The sequence below is a fragment of the Homo sapiens genome, chromosome 3 (genome assembly GCF_000001405.40).
Source record: "Homo sapiens chromosome 3, GRCh38.p14 Primary Assembly".
In the NCBI taxonomy this organism is placed as follows: Eukaryota; Metazoa; Chordata; class Mammalia; order Primates; family Hominidae; genus Homo; species Homo sapiens.
In genome coordinates, this window is record NC_000003.12 from 37,618,685 (window position 1) to 37,641,563 (window position 22,879).

General features: G+C 44.1%; 1 protein-coding gene across 1 annotated transcript in view, besides 1 other annotated feature; it reads left to right on the forward strand.

The window, feature by feature from the left end:
- Window positions 1–22,879, forward strand: part of ITGA9 (integrin subunit alpha 9) — a 371,367-nt gene that overhangs the window by 166,544 nt on the left and 181,944 nt on the right. The window contains exon 16 of the mRNA NM_002207.3: window positions 10,503–10,652. Coding sequence (NP_002198.2) covers window positions 10,503–10,652 — 150 coding nt within the window. The remainder of the gene's footprint in view (window positions 1–10,502; window positions 10,653–22,879) is intronic.
- Window positions 1,661–1,861: a silencer, noted in NCBI's record as "peak4612 fragment used in MPRA reporter construct". NCBI's record gives its function as "represses an SCP1 promoter by STARR-seq MPRAs in K562 erythroleukemia cells {active_cell/tissue: K562}" and the evidence as "EXISTENCE:reporter gene assay evidence [ECO:0000049][PMID:32103011]".

Genomic DNA, 22,879 nt, shown 5'->3' on the forward strand with positions numbered 1-22,879 from the left:
CTGCTGCCTTGCAGTTTGATCTCAGACTGCTGTGCTAGCAATGAGCAAGGCTCCGTGGGCGTAGGACTCTCCGAGCTAGGCACGGGATATAATCTCCTCGTGTGCTGTTTGCTAAGACTGTTGGAAAAGCGCAGTATTAGGGTAGGAGTGACCCGATTTTCCAGGTGCCATCTGTCACCCCTTTCTTTGACTAGGAAAGGGAATGCCCTGACCCCTTGTGCTTCCCAGGTGAGGTGATGCCTCGCCCTGCTTCGGCTCACGCTTGGTGTGCTGCACCCACTGTCCTGCACCCACTGTCTGACACTCCCCAGTGAGGTGAACCCAGTACCTCAGTTGGAAATGCAGAAATCGCCCGTCTTCTGTGTCACTCATGCTGGGAGCAGTAGACTGGAGCTGTTCCTATTTGGCCGTCTTCGCTGTTATTTTTAAGAATAAATTTTAAAAGGACAAAGTAAAACTCCAAGTTGAACTTAATGGCAAGGAAGTGTCAAAATGAGACTCTGCATGTAACTCCCCATGCCTCTCCACTACTGATATGGATCTGCCTGGTCCACATCATCCTGGAGTGCTAGGGTGACCCTAGCACTGTATCCAGCTCTTCTCACCTCTTTAGGAATTTTAAGCCCACAAATTAAGTATGGAATTTATTACATGGTATCTTGGATTTCAGAAGCAGAATCTGAGATGGGGATTTTTGCCAGAGATTTATTGGGGGAGTGCTCTCAGAAGTGAGGAAAACAGAAAGGGACAGAGAAAAAAATGTTGAGTAAGGATGTGGTCTCAGGAAAAGTCTAGCCTCAGCCTGATCCCGTGCAGAAGCTCTGGAGCAGAGCTTATCCCACCCAGCAGCAAGGGGGATGGGGTGTTATCCTGCTGCATCTGCCAGCTAGGGAATGGGGCAGGTATTAGTTTTCTAGGCCACTTCAAAAATTACAAATTTAGCAGCTTAAAACAGCATAAAGTTACTATCTCACAGTTTTTGTCAGTTAGGAGTCTGAGCATGGCCTGCTTAGCGTTTCACAAGGCCGTACTCAAGGTGCCAGCCAGATCTTTTATGCGGCTTGGGGTCTTGCTCCAGGCTCTCATGGCCGTTGCTGGAATTCACTCCTGCAGCTGTGGAGCCCAGGGTGACTTGCTTCTTCAAGACTAGCAGAAGACTCTTTTTGCTGCTTCTAGTCTCTTAGCTCAGCCTTCCAGTCTCTTAGCTCAGCCTTCCAGTCTCTTAGCTCACTGCTCTCCAAGGATTCTTGACACTTGCACTCCAACCCACTCTGGGTCAGAAGCTATTCCTCCCTGTGAAAGGGGTCACTTGAGTAGGCCAATTCACGCCATCCTTTCTGATTCACTCAATTGAGCTGATTCAGAACTTTAATTACATCTGCAAACTCCCCTCACCTTTGCCATTTAATGTAACATCACAGGAGTGAGAACCATCATATGTCCAGTCCTTCCTACCCTCAAAGGGAGAAGATTATACAGGGGCATGGGTCACTGGCATCATTTTAGGATTCTGCCTGTCACAGGGCGTCACTTGCAGGCTTCGCTGGAGGAGATGGCTCCTGTCACCCAAGGGCAGTTCTCCTGAGAAAGTTGTGGGCATAAGCAATGCATGTAGCGGCTAGGGCACTGAGGTCCCGTGACCTGGTTCCAGCCTGCTCTCCTTCCCTGTCCATAGTCCCTCCCTGCCCCTCCCCCGTGATCTTGCCCCACAGACCTTTCTCAGGTGGCGGTGGTGATGGTGTTGTAGGGGCAACTGGCTTTTTTAGAGTGTCAGGAGCTCTCCAAGGTGCTTGACATCCATTTCTCTAATCTTCACAACAAGCATGCAAGGTTGATTCTGTCATCCCATTTTACATCTGAGAAAACAAGCTCAGAGAGAGTAAGTAAAGTGGCCAAGGTTGCAGTTTGCAAGAAATGGAGCTTGGACCCCCTCTGACCTTGAACTGGCTGACATCAAAGTTGTCGCTTTGCCTGGTCCTGTCACCTCTCTTCCTCAGATGTCTAGTGTTTATTAGACCTCCATAGTATCTTCACCAACTGAGAAGGTGCCCCATCAGCCTGAGGAACTCCCAGGGTCACCCCTCTACAAGGATTCTTGACACTTGCACTTCTACCCACTCTGGGTCAGAAGCTATTCTTCCCTCATTGGATTGCCACCATTCTTGTAAGGGCACCTTCTCTGCACCACAGTTTTTTGCTCACACTCCTCCTATTTTTCTCTTCTCAGCTTCCCTATGCCTCATGATGCCAGGCATAAGGCACACAGCAACCAAGTGTTGGCAGAAGGCAAATTATATGGTTTGGCTGTGTCCCCACCCAAATCTCATCTTGAATTTTAGCTCTTATAATTCCCACATGCTGTGGGAGGGACCTGGTGGGAGATAATTGAATCATGGGGGTGATTTTCCCCATACTGTTCTTATGGTAGTGAATAAGTCTCATGAGGTCTGATGCTTTTATAAGGGGAAACTCCTTTCACTTGGCTCTCATTCTCTCTTGTCTGCTGCCATGTAAGATGTGCCTTTTGCCTTCCACCATGGTTGTGAGGCCTCCCCAGCCATATGGAACTGTGAGTCCATTAAACCTCTTTTACTTTATAAATTACCCAGTTTTGGGTATGTCTTTATCAGCAGCATGAGAACAGACTAATACACCAATTGAGGTTCCTCCAGAGAATTAACAAAATGTCCATGCACTCTTTCGTTGTTCCCCCATACCCACAGACCTGCCATCCCTGGCCCTGCCTGGATGCCGGTACCTGGCCACTGCTGCTATATTCCATGCTTTTGGACAAGAGCATGTTCAGTATTGTCCAGGAGACCCAGGGAGCTCAAGACAGAGCTGAGATCCAGTTCCTACAGCCACAGTTAACACCCCAGCCCCCGACACACACACAGACTTTTCAATGCAAAATCAAACCATTCCCAAATATCCAGCTACATATTGTTTTACCTTTGAAGAGAAAAAAGCATCAGTGGGGTTATGTGATTTTCATAGATGAACAATTTTTGCAAATATGTTAATTGAAGAGTAATTGGTGCTTTTTTGACCCTCCTGAGCACTGATGCTTGCCAAAGGGTTATACATTTCAGACTAATGATGATATCCATTACTATATGTGCAATTGCTTATAAACTAATATATAGTCATATTAAAATCTCTAATCTGATTGAGAAATTTTCAGAAACAAGGTACACTGATTTTCTTACCACTTATTTCCTGCTCTCATGACAGAATTTCTGGAGTTCTTTGAATTCACCTGGTTTTTGGAGCTCTGTCAAGTCAATATTTATAACTGAACTAGTTCAAACAGTTCAAGCATTGTCTCTTCCTTTCTGGTTGAAGTTCTGTCTTAGAAGACTGTTGTAGTCAGCTGTGCTTGTCATAAAGTTTTGTTTAAAATTATTTTAGAATTTTCTTCTTTGGCTTTAATTTAAATTTTTGTTTGTTTACTTTTTTTTTTTTTTTCCCCGGCTCACTGCAAGCTCCACCTCCCAGGTTCACACCATTCTCCTGCCTCAGCCTCCCAAGCAGCTGGGACTACAGGCGCCCGCCACCAGGCCTGGCTAATTTTTTTGTATTTTTTAGTAGAGACAGGGTTTCACCGTGTTAGCCAGGATGGTCTCGATCTTCTGACCTCATGATCCACCTGCCTCGGCCTCCCAAAGTGCTGGGATTAGAGGTGTGAGCCACCGTGCCCAGCCTTGTTTACTTTTTAATTTATAGGATTGTAAATGAAACTATACTTGGCCTCAGTTTATTCTCTGGGAAATAGGTTCTTGCTACAGGTACAGTTTATAATAAGGATTTATTTCATAATAGGGAGCTTTTTATAGATTTTAATATCATAGTTGCCATTTAAAAAATTGTATTAAAGGCCGGGCGCAGTGGCTTATATCTGCAATCCCAGCATTTTGGGAGGCCAAGGCGGGTAGATCACCTGAGATTAGGAGTTTGAGATCAGCCTGGCCAACATGGTGAAAACCCCGTCTCTACTAAAAATACAAAAAATTAGCTGGGCGTGGTGGTGTGTGCCTGAATTCCCAGCTACTCTGGAGGCTGGGGCAGGAGAATCACTTGAACCTGGGAGGCAGAGATTGCAATGAGCTGAGATTGCGCCACTGCACTGCACAGAGTGAAACTCTGTCAAAAAAAAAATGCATTAAAAATGGTAATGATCACCATTTATTGCTTGCCTACAGTATGTCAGTCATTATACAAGGTATATTTTATAATTATAAATATTATTTATTATCTGATTACAAATATGTTATACCTTGCACTGTGTCCTGTATGTCTGTTATGTTTATTTCTGAATTTTCCTTCCTTTTTCCTCTCCATGCTTTGATCTGGATATTTCCTATTGAGAGAATACACTGAGGCCCAGTGTGATTTCATTCACAATCCTATAAATTAAAAAGCAAACAACTTCTGGGTCACTGGTCGTCTTTTCTGCTGTGTTCAATCTCCAGTAAAATATGTCAGCACCTTAACCACTGTCCTCTGCCTGGTTTCTTAGTCTCACAGCCCCGTGCTGCTGTAGAATTGGCAGATGCCTTGAGGACAATTGTGGCGTACAGTAAACATACCTCAATATACTTATTTCTGTTTGGGATTTTCGCCCCTCAAGTCCTCATTGCGTTATTAGCCCTGAGCTCTTAAGTTTTGTCTTCACAGAGTCATAAGACTTCCAGAAATTCAGCTTAGAAACTCAAGAACTTAGCTTTTTAGCCACTGCTTCACTTTCAGTTTCATAGCCTCTCATCCCACACTGCTTACAAATCTGGAAACACCTCAAGGGAAAAGTGCCCATAAATGTTGGGGTTACCTCCACATTCTTTCCTTCTCTTTGGGACCCTATACTCTGAAGTCCTGGCTGTCTTGATAGTTAGTTCCCTGATAACTTTATATATTTTTAATTTTTTTAAATGAACCTGGCATTTCAAACATAAGTTCCATGATAATTTTAAACAGGGGTGTGTGTGTGTATGTGTGTGTGTGTGTGTCTGTGTGTGTGTGTGTGTGTGTGTGTCCAGCTTTTCGAGTTGTCCGTGGGAGGACGGTTTCAGTAAGTTACTCTATCATTACTGGAAATGCAAAATCCTGTTTTCTTTTAAAAGAGTCTTCAAGCTGATGAAAATTTTAAAGTAGCTTATAACATTTTAACTGTGATCTTATTTATTATGAGTATAGAGATAAAGGAAAAGGCATCCCACTTCTGAAGATTTCTCGTTTCTAGGAGTGTCTACAAGATTATCATAGGTGAAAGTAGGGTTGGATGCAGAGAAATAGTAAGAAAGGATGGAGGATGGAGGGGATAAAAAGATCACATGTTTGGTGAATCCTCTTTTAAAAACACTTAGAAGATTTTCCCTAAACTAATTATCTGGCTTAATGCTAACTGCTTATTTGCTGACCTTCTGCTTTATTTACAAATTTAAAGTGGGGCCAACCCTTCCTGTTTTCCTTTAATTTACCCCGGCAGCTGCTGGTTAGCTAAGGAAGAAAAAAAACCCTTTTTTTTTTTTTTTTTTTTTTTAATGGAGACAAGCAGCAATTAGGTAGGCTTCTAGGTCAGGTGGCCAGTTAGGGGTGCCAGGGTTCCCAGGTCCAGCTTTCTTCGGGTCATAGAGTGAGGGTGGGAATCAAGTCACTCAGATATTTCTCCCGAATTGAAATGCGTGTCTTCCTTTGGCTGGGCAGATGAGGTCCCCTCTTCTCCATCTCTGCTGCTGGGTCCTGGTGCAAGCCCTTACTCTCTTTCCACTAAACCCATGTGGCAGCCTCCTCCTTAGCCTGTTTCTCCCCAGTCCTGCACCCATCAGTCCACTGCCACACGGCAGCTACAGGGACCTTTCTAGAACACAGCCTCCTGCTGCCTCCATGTTGGCCTCCCTGCCCCTGTCAGAGGGATTTTTATTTATTTTATTTATTTATTTTTGAGACAGAGTCTTGCTCTGTCACCCAGGCTGGAGTGCAGTAGTGTGATTGCAGCTCACTGCACCTCCGCCTCCTGGGTTCAAGCAATTCTCCTGCCTCAGCCTCCTGAGTAGCTGGGATTATAGGCGTGCTCCACCACGCCCGGCTAATTTTTGTATTTTTAGTAGAGATGGGGTTTCACCACGTTGGCCAGGCTGGTCTCAAACTTCTGACCTCAGGTCATCCGCCTTCCTCAGCCTCTTAAGGTGCTGGGATTACAGACGTGAGCCACCATGCCCAGCCAAGAGGGACTTTTCTATAACAGCCTCTAGGATCATGCTACCCCCTTCCCAGCTCTCCCTAGCTTTTAAGATCACATAACCTGCAAAGTGCCCTGAGATCTGGTTCTGCATGAATCTTCTCTACCCTATTGCTGCCTATCAACTTGACTTCCCACCTTTGGGAGTCAGATGCAGTCCGCTGGACAGCCCATGCCCTCTCCATGTGGCTATACCACCCCTGCCTTGCCCCTGCTCTCTGCCTGATGTCCTACTGTCTTTTGACTGTGCCCAGGGGCATTTCCTCTGGGAAGCCTGCCAGCCCTCAGTCTGAACCTTTGGGTCCCCAAAGCCTCCCCTGTCCTGGTATGTGTTGCACTGCGTTGTCATCTCTTGTCTGTTTCCCCTGAGACTCATTATTCCCTGAAGGTCTTTCATCTCTGTTTCCCTGTGGCCCAGCACATTGCCTGGCATAAAGTAAGCACCCAATAAATTTCAGATGGAGCATATGTTAAGTTCCCTATAAAACCTCAGCTGCTGCAAATTCTGCCACCAGCCTGGGTGTTCTCCTCTGTGGGGACTCCTTCAGTTTTCAGAGACAGGAGACTCCCATAGATTTTTAGCAGGAAAAGGTAGATTCTTGCCTTTTAGTCTGTCAGAATGACACTTTATTAGATGCTTTAGAACTGCAGAAGCTTCAATTTTAGAATTTTCAGTTTGTAGCGTTATTTTTTTTAAGCAGTAAAATTTCAGCGACTATGGTCTGTGCCAGAGCCCTAAGCCTCTTTCTCCATCCTAAGGAGTTTCTCTGCTTAATTGCAGTGCTGAGCTCAGGGAAGCTGCATATCCAAAAATGAAAAGGAAACCGCTAAATTGTGCTGCTACTTTTCCTTTGCAGCTCAGATAAAACAGGCCCAGTGTGGGAAGAAGGGGCTGTCCTTTTGGGGGTGTTGGCCTGTTTCTAATTGCTGCACCCTCCTCTGCCTCCACCCATGCCTCAGTGTGGTTTGGGTCCCTTCTGCCCAGAGCTACTGGGACATGTAATAAGAAGCTGCTTTTCAGACTTCTTAATTAAAATAGGTTCCGGCAGCCATTGCCAGGAAGCAGCATTCGCACCCCTACATGTCCAAATGCATTACTCATCCAAAATAAGATATGCCACGACTCAGGTTTCCCTCCTCAGCCACCATGGCTTGAATGGCTGCATTTAGAAACAGCCCTTACTTCAAGCCCCTATTTCTTAATTATTTGTCACTTATTCCCATTCATCCTTGTGTGTGAAACATTTTTCCCCTCACCCTATATGCTGTTATGTAAACAAGTAATTTTTTAGGATGATGTCAGAACCTGATGTAGTTGGGGTGGTTTTAAAATAGTATTTTATGGACAGCAAGAAAAGTAGTTTTGCTTCTGGTTTCACTTGCTAGCTTTGGGATGGAGGGACATTTATTTGAGCTTCTGCACCTCTGTGATCTTGTCTATAAAACGGGGGGCAATGGCTGGTGCTGTGGCTCACACTTTTAATCCCAGCACTTTGGGAAGATGAGGCAGAAGAATCACTTGAGGCCAGGAGTTCAAGACCACCTTGGGCAACATAGTGAGACCCCATCTCTACAAAATAAAAAATAAATAAAAGAAATAAAAGAATGAAAGTTAGCTAGGCATGGTAGTATCCAACTGTAGTCCCAGCTACTCAGGAGGCTGAGGCAGGAAGATTGCTTGAGCTTAAGAGTTCAAGGCTGCAGTGAGCTATGATTGTCCCACTTCTGGGAAACAGAGCAAGACTCTGTCTCAAAAAAAAAGTGGAAGGTGGGGGTCAATAATCTGCCAGCTCAGGTATTGTAAGGATTAAGAAAGACAGTGTCTGTGAAGAGCTTGGCCCAGTCTCTGGAACACATTTGGTAGCCAGGAAATAGTAAATGACTTCTGTTTCCCTACCCCCATCTTCACCTCCTCCCCTAGAATAACAACATCATAACTGACTTATTTCATCATTAAGGATTTAAATGCAAAACCTTAAGATAGTCAGCCTTAGGGAAACACTGAAGAATTTATTTTTAAACACATAAAGATTGCATTCATTCATCCTTCTCCACACCGCGGGCAGTCTTCAAATTCTGGTTAGCAGAGTCAGCGGGCAGGGAGGATCTGGATCCTGGGGTTGTGTGCTTTGCTCCCAGAGGGACATGAGTATCAAAGGTCTGCCCCGATATCTGGAGTTCAAGAGGCGTTTTCTGGAAACAATTTGTCCAAAGGCTCCCCTATCACTCTCTTGGAGAAGTCCTGTGTTTTATTTATGCTGAATGATTGAATCTATTCCCAGCCGAATGTTTTCCTGAACACCAGTAAAAATCATCTGCCAGTCACTCGGGCTCCCACCCCGGGAGTCATCTGTCCCCTTTGCCTGGTCTCCCATGCCTCACAGCTCAGCAGCCACAGGCATGGCCATATCTGCCTCTCTTGCCCTTGCCACTCCACTTCATCATGGCCGTCTCCTCTCTGGGGCTGCTGCGGGAGATTTCCAGTCTGCCCTCCAGTGTCTCTGCATGCATTCTACTCACCTCCTCTCCCCCCGCAGCCCCGAGGAACTCTGAAGAAACACAAGCTTCTGTGGCCCCGTACACGTAGGACTACCACCGCTTACTTGGAGGCAGTGGCAGTAAAAACGGAAACAACAAACAAAACAGAATAAAATCCTCTTTAACTTTGTTTAACTTGGTGTCCCATGCAGTCTATTTAATTTCAGACTCTTATTTACCCCAGTCCTAGGGAACTGAGGTTCATAGGACCAATCTGGGTGAATGCTGCTACAGTTTGTGGATGGGCTGCTCCCCATTTGCTTGTTCAGGTAGCTTTGAGCCCAAACATTGGTCAGCAAGGGCATCCATATAGTGACATGCTGTATGTCATCAAAAAGAAGGTGTTCCTGACATAGACAATTTCCAGAATATATGCTAAGTGACTAAAGCAAAGTGCAGCATGAGATGCCACCATGTGCTGCAGATGCTTGGACTGGATGGATACCTAAGTACCCCCAAACTGGCAGGCACATCTGCCTCTGGGGAAGGGGGCTGGGTGTCGGGGAGGGGTGGGAGCAAATTCCTCCCCGTGTGCCTCCTGGGGCCTTTAGAACCTCTACTTCTTTGAACACAGTGCTACTCTGCTCCAAACGCCCCCAAACTTCACACAGAGAGTAGTATGAAGTCCTCATCTCTGCACTTGTGGCCCTGAGGTTGGCCTCAGCCTGCCCGCCCAGCTTCTCTTCTCATTCTTCCCTGCTGCCACTCTCCTGTCTCCCCAGGGACTCGGCTGTTTGAGCCACTTTCCTTTGACACGTCTCAGACTTGCCCTGCTCCACTTGGAAGTCCTTGGAGCAGCCCACACGCACCCCCGCCGAGCTCACTGTCTCAGAATGTGGGACCACCTACCAGCTTTACTCCTGCGTCTAACTCTAACTTGTGAGATTGTGGGGGCCAGAGTCCCCAGGAGGCAGTGACGCTGTGTGCAGAAAAGCCAAGAGCTCCAGGGCTGAACAGATGTGACTGAAAATCTTTACCAGCCATGTGCCCTGGGGAACTGAGCCTTTCATTTCCCCTTTCCTTTTCTGTATAATGGAGGATAACAAGCCTTCACTCACAGGGCGTGGGTGTGTTTCTCATCTCCTTGCAGCACCTAGCACAGTACCTGGCATCTCATATGTTCAGGGCATGTTTGCTCTCCTCCCTTCCTTTCCCATCGTGACTGTCAATCGACTGTTCCCTTGGGGCTTGAGATTCTTGGATTCCAAAGGAAAGAACACAGGGCCAGGAGTCAGAATTTCATCCTTGCCTCCGCTGATGTCTAATTCTGGGATAACGCTGGGCCACTCAGTCTTTGGATTCCCTGCCCTAACACAAAATCCATATTTATCTCAATGCAAAAGAGATGTGGTCATCGAAACACTGAATGCAAAGGGTTAGCAGAGTGAGCACAGATGTTCTCCCATTTGCCAACTGGTTTCTAAGAATATTTGGAGGATGAGTAAAGTAATGTCTTCCATATGCTCAAGAGAAGATGATTTAGCACCATGCAAGGTAGAGAAGGAGAGCCCCCACCCATCAACAGAATGACCTTGGACAAGACACTAGCTGCCCTAGGCCTCAATTACCTCATTTAAAATATGAAAGTCATAAAACCCTACCTCACGAGGGTGATTGTGAGGATTATATGAGGCAATTCATGTAGAAGGTCTTTGTAAACTGTGAAATGCTCTACGACTGTCAGCCAGGATTAGTAGTTAATGCACGTATTTGTTTATTGTTTCAGCGGAGGGTGCAGGACGTCATCAGCCCGATCGTGTTTGAAGCAGCCTACAGCCTCAGTGAGCATGTGACTGGAGAGGAGGAGAGGGAACTGCCGCCTCTGACACCAGTTCTCCGCTGGAAAAAGGGACAAAAGATTGCCCAAAAGAATCAGGTCAGAACCTTAAAGCTCATACTCAGCACCCAAGGTGGCAGCTGCACAGAGCAGAAATAATGGCCCAAAAGTTGAGAGAGCCGTGGGCCTGGCTGCTCAGGAGACCGCAGCCAGGACACACCTCCTCTCTGGGTCTCCCTTTTCTGATCTGCAAAATGATAAAATAAACAGTCTTAGGGGTTACTTGTGACTACTGTGGGACTTAAACACTTTCAGACAATTCTCAGGCTGTTAGAAGTTACAATCCCCTCGAGTTCGTGAACTGGCTGGCCACTTGGTCCCTGAACTTGCCTCTGTTCCTAGACTGTTTTCAGAGCTTAGATTGGTGGATAGTAGGTGCTTAATGAATGTTTTATTGGTGGGAGAATGAGTGAGGTGAAGAAGCAAGAATGGTAGCTTGCTGAATTGGCAGTTGAGTTACAGAATGCTCAACCCAAGAGTCCCTGGAAACCAGAGCACTGGGGCAAGTACAGGTGGTCCACACTCATCAGATTCTGGGATGTGCGGCTGTGTAGAGAAGCTTTAGTGCGATGGGTGTATCACTCGTATGAAGTAGGAGTGAGCCTGTGCCTGATTTTGTGCAGCAGCGCTGGCCAGCTCTGAGGCGTGCAGCACTGAGTGCGGTGCAGGAATATGCAAGGAATCTGCAATCCCAAGTCTGTTTCAAATCTTTTCTTGAAACCCAAGATCACCACAGATTCAGAACCCTGTGGAAGATCAGGAAAAACTGTGGGCTAACCCAGCCTCCTAGGCAGGGTTGGGGCAAAGCTGTGGAACCACCTTTCACAGTGCTTCAGACCACTGTAAGTGTAGGGGAAAACTAGCAGATTGTGACCCATGCCTTGTAGATTAGAGTTGTAGACTGAACCACAGAGAAGGGTTTGGGATTTGAGATATCCATCCAGGTGTTCACGTAAGTGCTGAGATTTTTACCAAGGCATCGCATTATCTCCCAAAGCCTCTTTCCCATCATCCTAAGTGGGGTTCCCTAGAAGCAGAGCCTGAGAAAGGGAATTGGGAACACATGGTCTAATGATGCTGTGCTCTTAGGGAAAACCTGTAAAGGAAAGGCATGGGGGCTCAAAATGGTTGTGGTCTCAGATAAAGTCTGGCTGAGGGACTCTGGAACAAAAATTACACCAAAGAGTTGTCCTCACCTTGAGGCAAGAGGGGCTTCCCTTTTGTGCCCCATATCATTCAGCCATTGACTGGCTGTGGGGGGGAAGGGAAGTGTAACCCTCCTTGAAAGGAGATCCCCTCAGCTGAGGATGGTTCTCTAGAGAAGAATGCAGATGTGAGCCATAAGCAGCCTACACACACATCAGCCAGGAGATGGGCCACAGTTCACAGTGCCCACTACACATCAAAACACACCCTCTGGGGAATGCTGCCAAGAGGTTTTGATTTAAAACACGAACCTTCTTTCACAACACAAGTGCCCCAGGAGAGTGGCCTGTAAGTCCCACTGGCCATTGATACTTGGAACAGGCCCTGGGGGAGTGAGGGAGGACACGTGGTGTCTAAGCAGGTGGGCAGAGTAGATGGGCTGGCCTTACTCTGAGGTGTGGAGAAGGCTAGAGAAGAGTAGAAGATAAGGTGAAGAGGCAGGGCAGGAAGCTGATGGCTTCTGCCTTGACTGGGAAGTACAGACCTAGGTCCCCTCCTGACAGGGAAGTGGGGAGAAGAGGTTGGCCTGGGGACACAGTAAAGCATGGTATTATGGTAACTTCTACATAATTGGTCTCTAGTTCTAGAATTATTCTGCTTTCTAAGGTCAAATCTTACTGGACTGATAAACTTACCCATACTTGGGTTACGGAAGTTACCCAGACTCGGGGTCCTGGGAAGAATTTCAGGGTCCTCTGTGCTTATTTGTTTCTGAATTGACCCAGTGAGGTAGTCATCTACCCTGTCCAGCATCTTGCTAGCCTGGACATACTTTCCACAGTGAACCTATCTCTCATTCCTGCAAGTCTGTCAGTGGCACAGATGTGGACTTTCTTTAGTGAAAAGCATCTTGGAACCTTTACTGACATTTTTAGATTTAAGCAGCCCAATCAAAGCCAGAGATGGAGGGACAGATTAGTATTGAAATGATGTTCTTGGTCACTTCTGGTTCCAGATGGCCAACCAAGCACAAATGTTGATGTCTGTGCCTTCTGGTACCCCATTGCAATGATTATAAATGAGTAGATCGGAACAGGGAGGACAACACTGTGAAAGAAAGGGCATCAGCTAATAATAAGAGTCCAGTAATTTTCTGGTATGAGTGAAGTAAATGGAAGAGTGTTAGTGGGTGAACTTGAACTGTACATGGAAGAGCTGGCTTCCTGCCTACCCAGGGAACAGAGAAGCTGCAGCCACAGCCAGGCCAACAGTTACAGAGGGGGCCAGAGTAAGAAGTGGGACTGCAAGTGGTGGTGGTATTGAGGGAGGTCAGTGAAATGTGAAGGTTGGTATGAAGAAGGGTTAGAGTTGACTTTTCACCATTGTCCCCACCCCTACAGGCTTCAGGCATGCAGAATAGCAAGCAGCCAGGCATCGCCTTCTCTAAAGTGTTAAATAAACTGTTTAAGATAGTGTGGGCGGCCTCGTTCTCAGAGAAAAGAAAGCCTTACTTCTGGCATTTGAAGTCACCAACGTAAGAGCTAGCTTTCTCTCCCACAATCCACCCAAACACTTTCACAGATTTTCTACTCAGTCCTTTTACCTTAGTTTGAAATATGAATGGACAACCAAGGAAACCCAAGATTGAGGAATATTTGGTGCATGAAAGGAAAGGCTAAAATAAACCAGGAGAATAACTAACTTAAAAGGAAACAAATGATTTAGGGAATATAAGAGATTATTTTAAAAAATTTTAAAAATGCAACACCTTAATGTCTATGCAGTAGACCCAAGGAGATTTAGGAATATATTCCATTCTTTTCATTTTCTAATGGATGGGATTCTGTTCCTTTTTAAAGGGAGGAATGAAAGGCAAGGGAAGTGTTCTTAAAAATTAAAAATATATTTGCAGCACCAAAAACTCAGTGGAAGTATTAGAAGACAATGGTAAATAATTTCCCAATGGAAGTGCTAAAAGACAAGTAGAAAAGAAAGCTAAAGAATAAATTTACGGGGTCCTATATCTCCAAGTAATAAGAATACTAGAAAGTAAGAATACCAGTAATAAGAAAAGAGAAAGAAGGGGGAGAAAATTATGTAATAATAGAATAGCATGTTTCAGAGTTAAAGAGGGAGACTATTTTTTAAAATTGGTGTAAACAACAATTTACAATCACAATAAACCAAAATTATCATAGACACATCATTTTGAAATGTCAGTGCTTCAAAGACAAAGGGAAAATTCTAAATGTTTCGAGGGCAAAGAATGCAGGAATGTTGATCATGGAGGATAAGTCAGCTTACAACAGAATGAGAGTCAGACTGAGTAGTCCATTAGACTTTTTATAAGCAAGATTAGAAACTAAACTATGATGAAATAAAGGCTTCAATGTTCTGAGGGAAAATGATTTTGAAATTAGAATTTTGTTTTCAGCCACACAATCAAAGTATGTGGTAAAAATAAAGTCACTTTTCAGATAAGCAAGAACCCAGAAAGTTTACCTCCCTAGTAACTCTTCCAAGGAAATTATCTTGTACTTCAACAAAACAAAAATGACAACCAGAAGGAGCAAGATGTGGGATACAAGAAACTCTGGAACTAACTCTCAAAAGTCTAATGACAAGAAATCCCAGGATGATAACTGCAGCAAGTCTAAAAAGCAGCCAAGTCTATTGAGAAGAGGAGATCAATTAACTTCCAGAAGAATGAAGCTAAGCAATAGAATGATGAGCAAGTGGCAAATATTCAGTATATAGTGCAGATTGAATATGTTTCTTTTATGGGTAAGAAAAAAATAAAAGCATTCAAGACCTCTCAGAAAAATAGAAATAAGATAATTACCTGTACAGATTCTCCTTGACTCACGATGGGGTTATGTCCCAATAAACCCATCATGAATTAAAAATATTGTCAGTTGAAAATGTATTTAATACACCTAACCTGCTGAATATCATTGCCTAGCCTACCTTAAATGTGTTCAGAACACTTACATTAGCCTACAGTTGGGCAAAAGTCATCTAACACAAAGCTTATTTTACAATAAAGTGTTGAATATCTCATGTAATGTATTGAACACTATACTGAAAATGAAAAACAAAATGGTTGTATGGGTACTCACCATTAACACACACAGCTGAAAGCACACTGGACCTAAAGAATATTTGAACTAAAATTAACTGCTGGATTATGGGGCTACTAGTGTAACAGGGTCATCCATTTCTCTCTCTTCTGATGAGTCTCAAGAATAGCTGGTAGAAGCCACTGCGGTATTAACACTCGTTGATGGCTTAGCAGGCATGGTGTTCTGTAGAAAGCTATCAGTTGTTTACCCTCCTAATCCTATAACTGACTGGGACCTGCAGCTCACTCCCACTGCCCAGCATCACAGGAAGTATTGTACCACATATTGCTACCCTGGGAAAAGCTTTTGAAATAAAAAATTTGAAATATGGTTTCTACTGAATGCATACTACCTTCACACCATTGTGAAGTCAAAAAATCGTAGGTTGAACCATTATAAGTTGGAGACCGTCTCTATGTCATGGTTAAAATATAAAACAAATTAAAATGTGATAAAATAACCAGTTATAACTATCAGATGTTTTTTGTAAGCCTCATGGTAACCACAAGGCAAAAACCTATAGTAATACAAAAATAAAAATAAAAAAGCAAAGAACCAAACCATACCACTAGAGAAAATCACTTGACCACAAAGGAAGATAGCAAGAAAGGAAGAAAGGAACAAAGGATCTACAAAACAACTAGAAAACAACAAAATTGCAGTAGTAAGTCCTTACTTATCAATAATTATCTTAAATGTAAATGGATTAAACTCTCCAATCAAAAGACATGGAGTGGTTAAATGGATTTAAAAAAAAAAAAACAAAAAACAAGACCTAACTATATGCTGCTTATAAGAGACTCACTTCACCTGTAAGGACACACATAAAATGAAAGCAAAGGGATGAAAAAAATTCTATGCAAATGGAAACCAACACAGAGCAGGAGTAGACTTTAAGTCAAAAATAGACTTTAAGTCAAAAACTGTAAAAACAGACGAAGATCATTATACAATGATAAAGGGATCAGTTCAGCAAGAGGACATAACAATTGTAAATATATATGCACCCAACACCAGAGAAACTAAATATATAAAGCAAATATTAATAGATCTTATGAGAGAGATAGATTGCAGTACATTAATATTAGGGAATTTCAGTACCCCACTTTCTGCAATGGACAGATCATCCAGACAGAAAATCAATAAGGAAACATCAGACTTAAACTACACTCTAGAATAAATACGTCTAACAGACATATACACAACAGTCCATCCAACAGCGACAGAATACACATTCTTCTCAACTGCACATGGAACACTCTCCAGGATGGATCACATAGTAGGCCACAAAATAAATCTTAATAAATTTAGCCTTGAAATATCAAGTATCTTTTCTGACCACAATGGTATAAAACTTGAAATAATTAACAGGAGGAACTTCAGAAAATTCACAAATACGTGGAAATTAAATAACATGGTCCTGAATGACCATTGGGTTAATGAAATAATTCAAAGGGAAATTTAAGAATTTCTTAAGACAAATGAAAATGGAAACACAGCATACAAAAACTTAAAATGTGGTAGGATTTTGAGTAAGTAGAAGAGTATAAAGAAGAATGTTGATCCTAGAAATATTCTATCTGAAGTAGAAGTTGAATATTCCTGGACTTTAACTTTGCAACTGTAGAGGAGGATGTATAATCATGACACTTGTCTTGGCTCAACTGTGAGCAATAATCATGAACCATAATAAAATTAGCACTATTTATTGGTTTTCAATATTTATAATTAAGCCAAAATCAGAGCTATGGTGATAGCATAAAATGCAAATGTCATTAAACTTGATTATATAAAGGTAAAAGTAGAATAAGATAAGTTTTCTTAATATCTTAATCTTTTAAATTGATGAGTCAAGAGATTGCAAAACTTGATGAAACAGGAAATCACTGTTGGCTTAAAATTGCAGAGGTCATCAGTAGAGCAACACTTCCTAAAGTGTGATTCCTGAACCAGCAGCATCAACCTCTCTTGGGATTTTGTGAGAAATGAAAATTGTTTTTATTTTATTTTATTTTATTTTATTTTATTTTTTTCCTAAATTTCTTATTTCCTTCTCTTTTTTTAAAGTTTTATTATTATTATACTTTAAGTTTTAGGGTACATGTGCACAACGTGCAGGTTTGTTACATATGTATACATGTGCCATGTTGGTGTGCTGCACCCATTAACTAGTCATTTAGCATTAGGTATATCTCCTAATGCTATCCCACCCCCCTCCCCCAACCCCACAACCGTCCCCGGTGTGTGATGTTCCCCTTCCTGTGTCCATGTGTTCTCATTGTTCAATTCCCACCTATGAGTGAGAACATGCGGTGTTTGGTTTTTTTGTCCTTGCGATAGTTTGCTGAGAATGATGGTTTCCAGTTTCATCCATGTCCCTACAAAGGACACGAAGTCATCATTTTTTATGGCTGCATAGTATTCCATGGTGTATATGTGCCACATTTTCTTAATCCAGTCTATCGTTGTTGGACATTTAGGTTGGTTCCAAGTCTTTGCTATTGTGAATAGTGCTGCTATAAACATACATGTGCGTGTGTCTTTATAGCAGCATGATTTATAATCCTTTGGGTATATACCCAGTAATGGGATGGCTGGGTCAAATGGCATTTCTGGTTCTAGATCCCTGAGGAATCGCCATATTGACTTCCACAATGGTTGAACTAGTTGACAGTCCCACCAACAGTGTAAAAGTCTTCCTATTTCTCCACATCCTCTCCAGCACCTGTTGTTTCCTGACTTTTTAATGATCACCATTCTAACTGGTGTGAGATGGTATCTCATTGTGGTTTTGATTTGCATTTCTCTGATGGCCACTGATGATGAGCATTTCTTCATGTGTTTTTTGGCTGCATAAATGTCTTCTTTTGAGAAATGTCTGTTCATATCCCTCACCCACTTTTTGATGGGGTTGTTTGTTTTTTTCTTGTAAATTTGTTTGAGTTCATTGTAGATTCTGGATATTAGCCCTTTGTCAGATGAGTAGGTTGCAGAAATTTTCTCCCATTCTGTAGGTTGCCTGTTCACTCTGATGGTAGTTTCTTTTGCTGTGCATAAGCTCTTTAGTTTAATTAGATCCCATTTATCAATTTTGGCTTATGTTGCCATTGCTTTTGGTGATTTAGACATGAAGTCCTTGCCCATGCCTATGTCCTGAATGGTATTGCCTAGGTTTTCTTCTAGGGTTTTTATGGTTTTAGGTCTAACATTTAAGTCTTTAATCCATCTTGAATTAATTTTTGTATAAGGTGTAAGGAAGGGATCCAGTTTCAGCTTTCTACATATGGCTAGCCAGTTTTCCCAGCACCATTTATTAAATAGGGAATCCTTTCCCCATTGCTTGTTTTTGTCAGGTTTGTCAAAGATCAGATAGTTGTAGATATGCGGCGTTATTTCTGAGGGCTCTGTTCTGTTCCATTGGTCTATATCTCTGTTTTGGTACCAGTACCATGCTGTTTTGGTTACTGTAGCCTTGTAGTATAATTTAAAGTCAGGTAGCGTGACGCCTCCAGCTTTGTTCTTTTGGCTTAGGATTGACTTGGCGATGCGGGCTCTTTTTTGGTTCCATATGAACTTGAAAGTAGTTTTTTCCAATTCTGTGAAGAAAGTCATTGGTAGCTTGATGGGGATGGCATTGAATCTATAAATTACCTTGGGCAGTATGGCCATTTTCACGATATTGATTCTTCCTACCTACGAGCATGGAATGTTCTTCCGTTTGTTTGTATCCTCTTTTATTTCATTGAGCAGTGGTTTGTAGTTCTCCTTGAGGAGGTCCTTCACATCCCTTGTAAGTTGGATTCCTAGGTATTTTATTCTCTTTGAAGCAATTGTGAATGGGAGTTCACTCATGATTTGGCTCTCTGTTTGTCTGTTATTGGTGTATAAGAATGCTTGTGATTTTTGTACATTGATTTTGTATCCTGAGAGTTTGCTGAAGTTGCTTATCAGCTTGAGGAGATATGGGGCTGAGACGAAGGGGTTTTCTACATATACAATCATGTCATCTGCAAAGAGGGACAATTTGAGAAAATTCTTGGGCCCACCCCAGACCCACTGAATCAGAAGCTGATGGGGTGGGCCCCAGCAAACTATGTTTTTGTTTTTGTTTTTGTTTTTGTGTTTTGAGACAAAGAATCCTCTGTCACACAGGCTGGAGTGCAGTGACAGGAACTCGGCCCACTGTAACCTCCACCTCCCAGGTTCAAGTGATTCTCCTGCCTCAGCCTCCTGAGTAGCTAGGATTACAGGTGCACGCCACTATGCCTGGCCAATTTTTGTATGTTTAGTAGAGACAAGTTTTCACTATGTTGGCCAGGCTGGTCTTGAACTCCTGACCTCAGGTGATCTGTCCGCCTTGACCTCCCAAAGTGTTGGGATTACAGGTGTGAGCCACCGTGCCCGGCCAGCAATCCGTGTTTTAACAAGATGGCTGGGTGATTCTCATGCAGCTAAAGTATGAGAACTGATACAGTAGAGGAGTTAAACTAATAATTTGCCCATCAAAATTATGGAGGTGAAGGAGTGGGGATCGTTATGTGAGATAAATTCCTGTCTATCATGGAAGGAATTTAGTAAAATAATGTCTAGATCTGATAAATCAACGAGTAGTAGTATCAGCATGTTTTCTAGAGATATGGAAATAATCATCAAAAGAAACATAAACGGACGTGGGTAATAATGAGTAATAATGGTTGCCCCTGGAGAGGAGGACTCAGTATGGCGAGGTATGTGGCAGGGGGTTATTATTTTTCTAACCATGTGATTCTTTGGTTGAAATTAAAATAAAAGAAAAAATTGTTCTTAGATTGGGAAGATTGTCCAGGAGCCTGAGAGAAGTTCTGGGAGAGCAGTTCTTTCTTATTGTCCTTTTCCTGATTATGGGGAAAAAAAAAAAAAAAAAAAGATAATCTTCCAGATGTTGGCTCAGTTTGAGGAGGAGGAAAGATTCTGAGAGTGAGGCCCACTGCAGGAAGCAGAGCTGATCTTTAACCTGTGTATATATACACAACAGTTTGACACAGAGCATCTCACCTCTTTCATAGGAAGGAATAAATTCATCAGAACTCTCTAGGTCATGTTGCCAGATAACATTAGGGTTCCACTACTTTAAATGCCTTGATCTCTTCACTGAGCCCATGTTGGTACCCAGGACTATACAGAAGGGTGGATCAAATCATGATGACCTTTTAGAGTTGGGGTCTGCCCCCACTGATGGCCTAATTAAAGTGGAATCGCTGCACAGACTGTGTGTGTAACATGGAGATAGTGACCAGTACATGTTAAGTACAGGCTTACTGATTAATCTGAGGCTTTTTGCTATGAGTTAGGAATGTGCAGGACAGGCAGGAGACCAAGCCTTCCCTCTATAGGGTACATAGTCCTGGGAGAAGACGGGTTCCAGGATAGGGCTTTGGCACTAGGCTCTGGTGAGTGAATAGTGGGATTGCTGCTAATGCTGAGATTGGATTGGGATTCTGGGCGCTCTGGGGACGGTGGAGCTTGAATGCTACAAGCCTCCGTACATACAGCCTGATGGGCACACATTGCACCTTCAAAATTTAAGGAAAGCAAAGACCTGCATCTGTCTCATCAGAAAGGGAGGCATATTTGATAGCAGGAAAAAGACAACCTTTTTTTCATTAACCAGAGGAGTATTTTAAAAGACTATAAAGCTGGAAGCAATTCAATTGTGTGTCTACTTTATGTAAGACCTCGATGAAAAAATAAATCATTGCTGCCTTCATTGGAGTCACAGACAGTCCAGGAATAATTTACAAAGTGAGATTTAGATTAGTGTGTAAGAATTTCACTGCAGAGGCCACTTCTGGCTGAGGAGAAGATGTTCTATGGAGAAAAGGAGAATTGGCCAGAGCCTTAAAGGTGGAGTAGGATTTGGGTCCTCAGGGAATGGAGGGGCTGATGGATGCTAAAGGTCTCTCACGTGGCTGAATATCTAGTGAGGGAAAGGGGAGAGGCCATCTGGACTGGAGATTCAGTCATGCAGTCTGAAGCCACTTGTTCACTGGCTGAGGAGTTGGATGTGATTCTACGGTGGACAGACCATGGCATATTTTGCAGTTTGGGGAGATCGTAGATGTGCCTCAGGGAGATTGGTGTGCCTGGGTATGGGGAGGCCAGTTAAGAAAGAGCTTGTTGCAGGGGCCTTTGCAGGTGAGTCCCTGGGGAGTCTGTGTGATACCCCCCAGAGAGTTGACTCCTAATTAATTGCTAGTTGGTCTCAGCTGCTGAAACAGAGGGTATGGAACTAAATGAAACAATCATGGGAAGTCCTGGCTGGTCCGTGTGCTGGGAAGGGAGCAATGCTGTCCTTGGACTGGTCACCTGAAGGTCCTTTATCCCTCCTCCTCAGCTGAGCATACCAATGGTGATGACAGAGGCCCTGTCTTCAATCCCTGTACACAGAATAGCGCTCTGAAAATTATAACTCTTCTCAGGCTTCATCAGCAGGCCCCCAAAGAGACCTGGCTACAGCAGGGCTTCCAGGTCTTTCACTGCGGTAGGCAGAATGGCCCCCCAAAGATGTCCATGCCCTAATTTCTGGAGCCTGTGATTTGGATACGTTACATGGCAAAAGGGACTTTGCAGTTGTAATTAAGGTGATGGACTTCCAAATGGGGAGAGGAGCCTGGATTTTCCAGGTGGGTCCAATCTAGTCACACGAGCCCTTAATAGCAGCAAACTTCCTCCAGCTGGAGGTGGGAGGAATGAGGCGGAATAGGAGGTCAGAGAGACTTGAAGCATGCCTTTGCTGATGTTGAAGATGGAGTATGTGATGTGACGAGAATGTGGACAACCTTAAGGGGCTGGGAGAGGCTTCCAGGTGACTGTCTGCAAGGAAACGGGGCCTCAGTCCTACAACCACACAGAACCAGGTGCTTCCAAAAACCCGAACAAAGCTGGAAGTGGATTCTCCCCCAGGGCCTCTAGATAATCGTCCAGACCAGCTGACACCTTGATTTCGGCCTGTAGAACCTGGAGCAGACCCAGACAACCCACCGACCTCTGACTTACAGAACTGTGAGATAATAGATTTGTGTTATTTTGAGCAGCTGAACTCCGGTAACTTATTACTGCAGCAATAGAAAATAATAGACACACAATACAGCCCACACCTCCAGAACCCCGGGGCTTCTTTCCTCCCTGGGCTCTCTGGGGAAGGAGCACAGGCTGTGCAGTGAGATCAGGGCCCTGGCCCAGAGCACTCACCCTTTAGAGCCTGTTTCCTCACCTGTCACTGGGGGTGCCATCGGCTGCTCTGCCTGCCTCTGGGTGGTGGTGGGATTACATGAGGGAAATGTGAGAAGCCCGGAAATGATGAGGCAGCACTGGATCCTGCTGTTCCCTTCCTGGGAAGCCGGCTTCCTGGTGTTGTGAGGAGAGGATGAGGCCGTCATGGGAGCAGGTCTGACCTGGGCTCTGAGGAAGCAGGTGCTCTGCTGCCTTTCCACATCCTTTCCTCTGAGGGGGGTCCCGTCTCTGCAGGCCCGTGGGTGGGCTCCCCGGTGGGACGCAATGGCACCATCTTAGGCAGGAGTCCCCAACTCCTGGATCAGTACCAGTCCGGCCACACAGCATGAGGTGGGCAGCGGGCCAGCGAGTGTTACCGCCTGAGCGCCCCTCCTGTCAGATGAGCAGAGGCATTAGATTCTCACAGGAACATGAACCCTACACATGTGAGGGATCTAGATTGTGCCGAAACCATCCCGCCCCCTCCACCGCCCGTTCATGGAAAAATTATCTTTCACAAAACTGGTCCCTGGTGCCATAAAGGTTGGAGAACACTGGTCTAAGGGTTCTGGCAGGCTCTCAGATGAACCTCTCTGGATCTTTAGGGTGTCTGGCCCTCACGTGTCAGGCCCAAAGATGCCTGTTAGTCTGTCGCAGAGGGAGAAGATCTGGGGAGGACCCATATAACCAGAACTCGGGAGCCAGCCGCACCACCATGAGCCCAGATAGCATGAGTCCCTTCTCTTT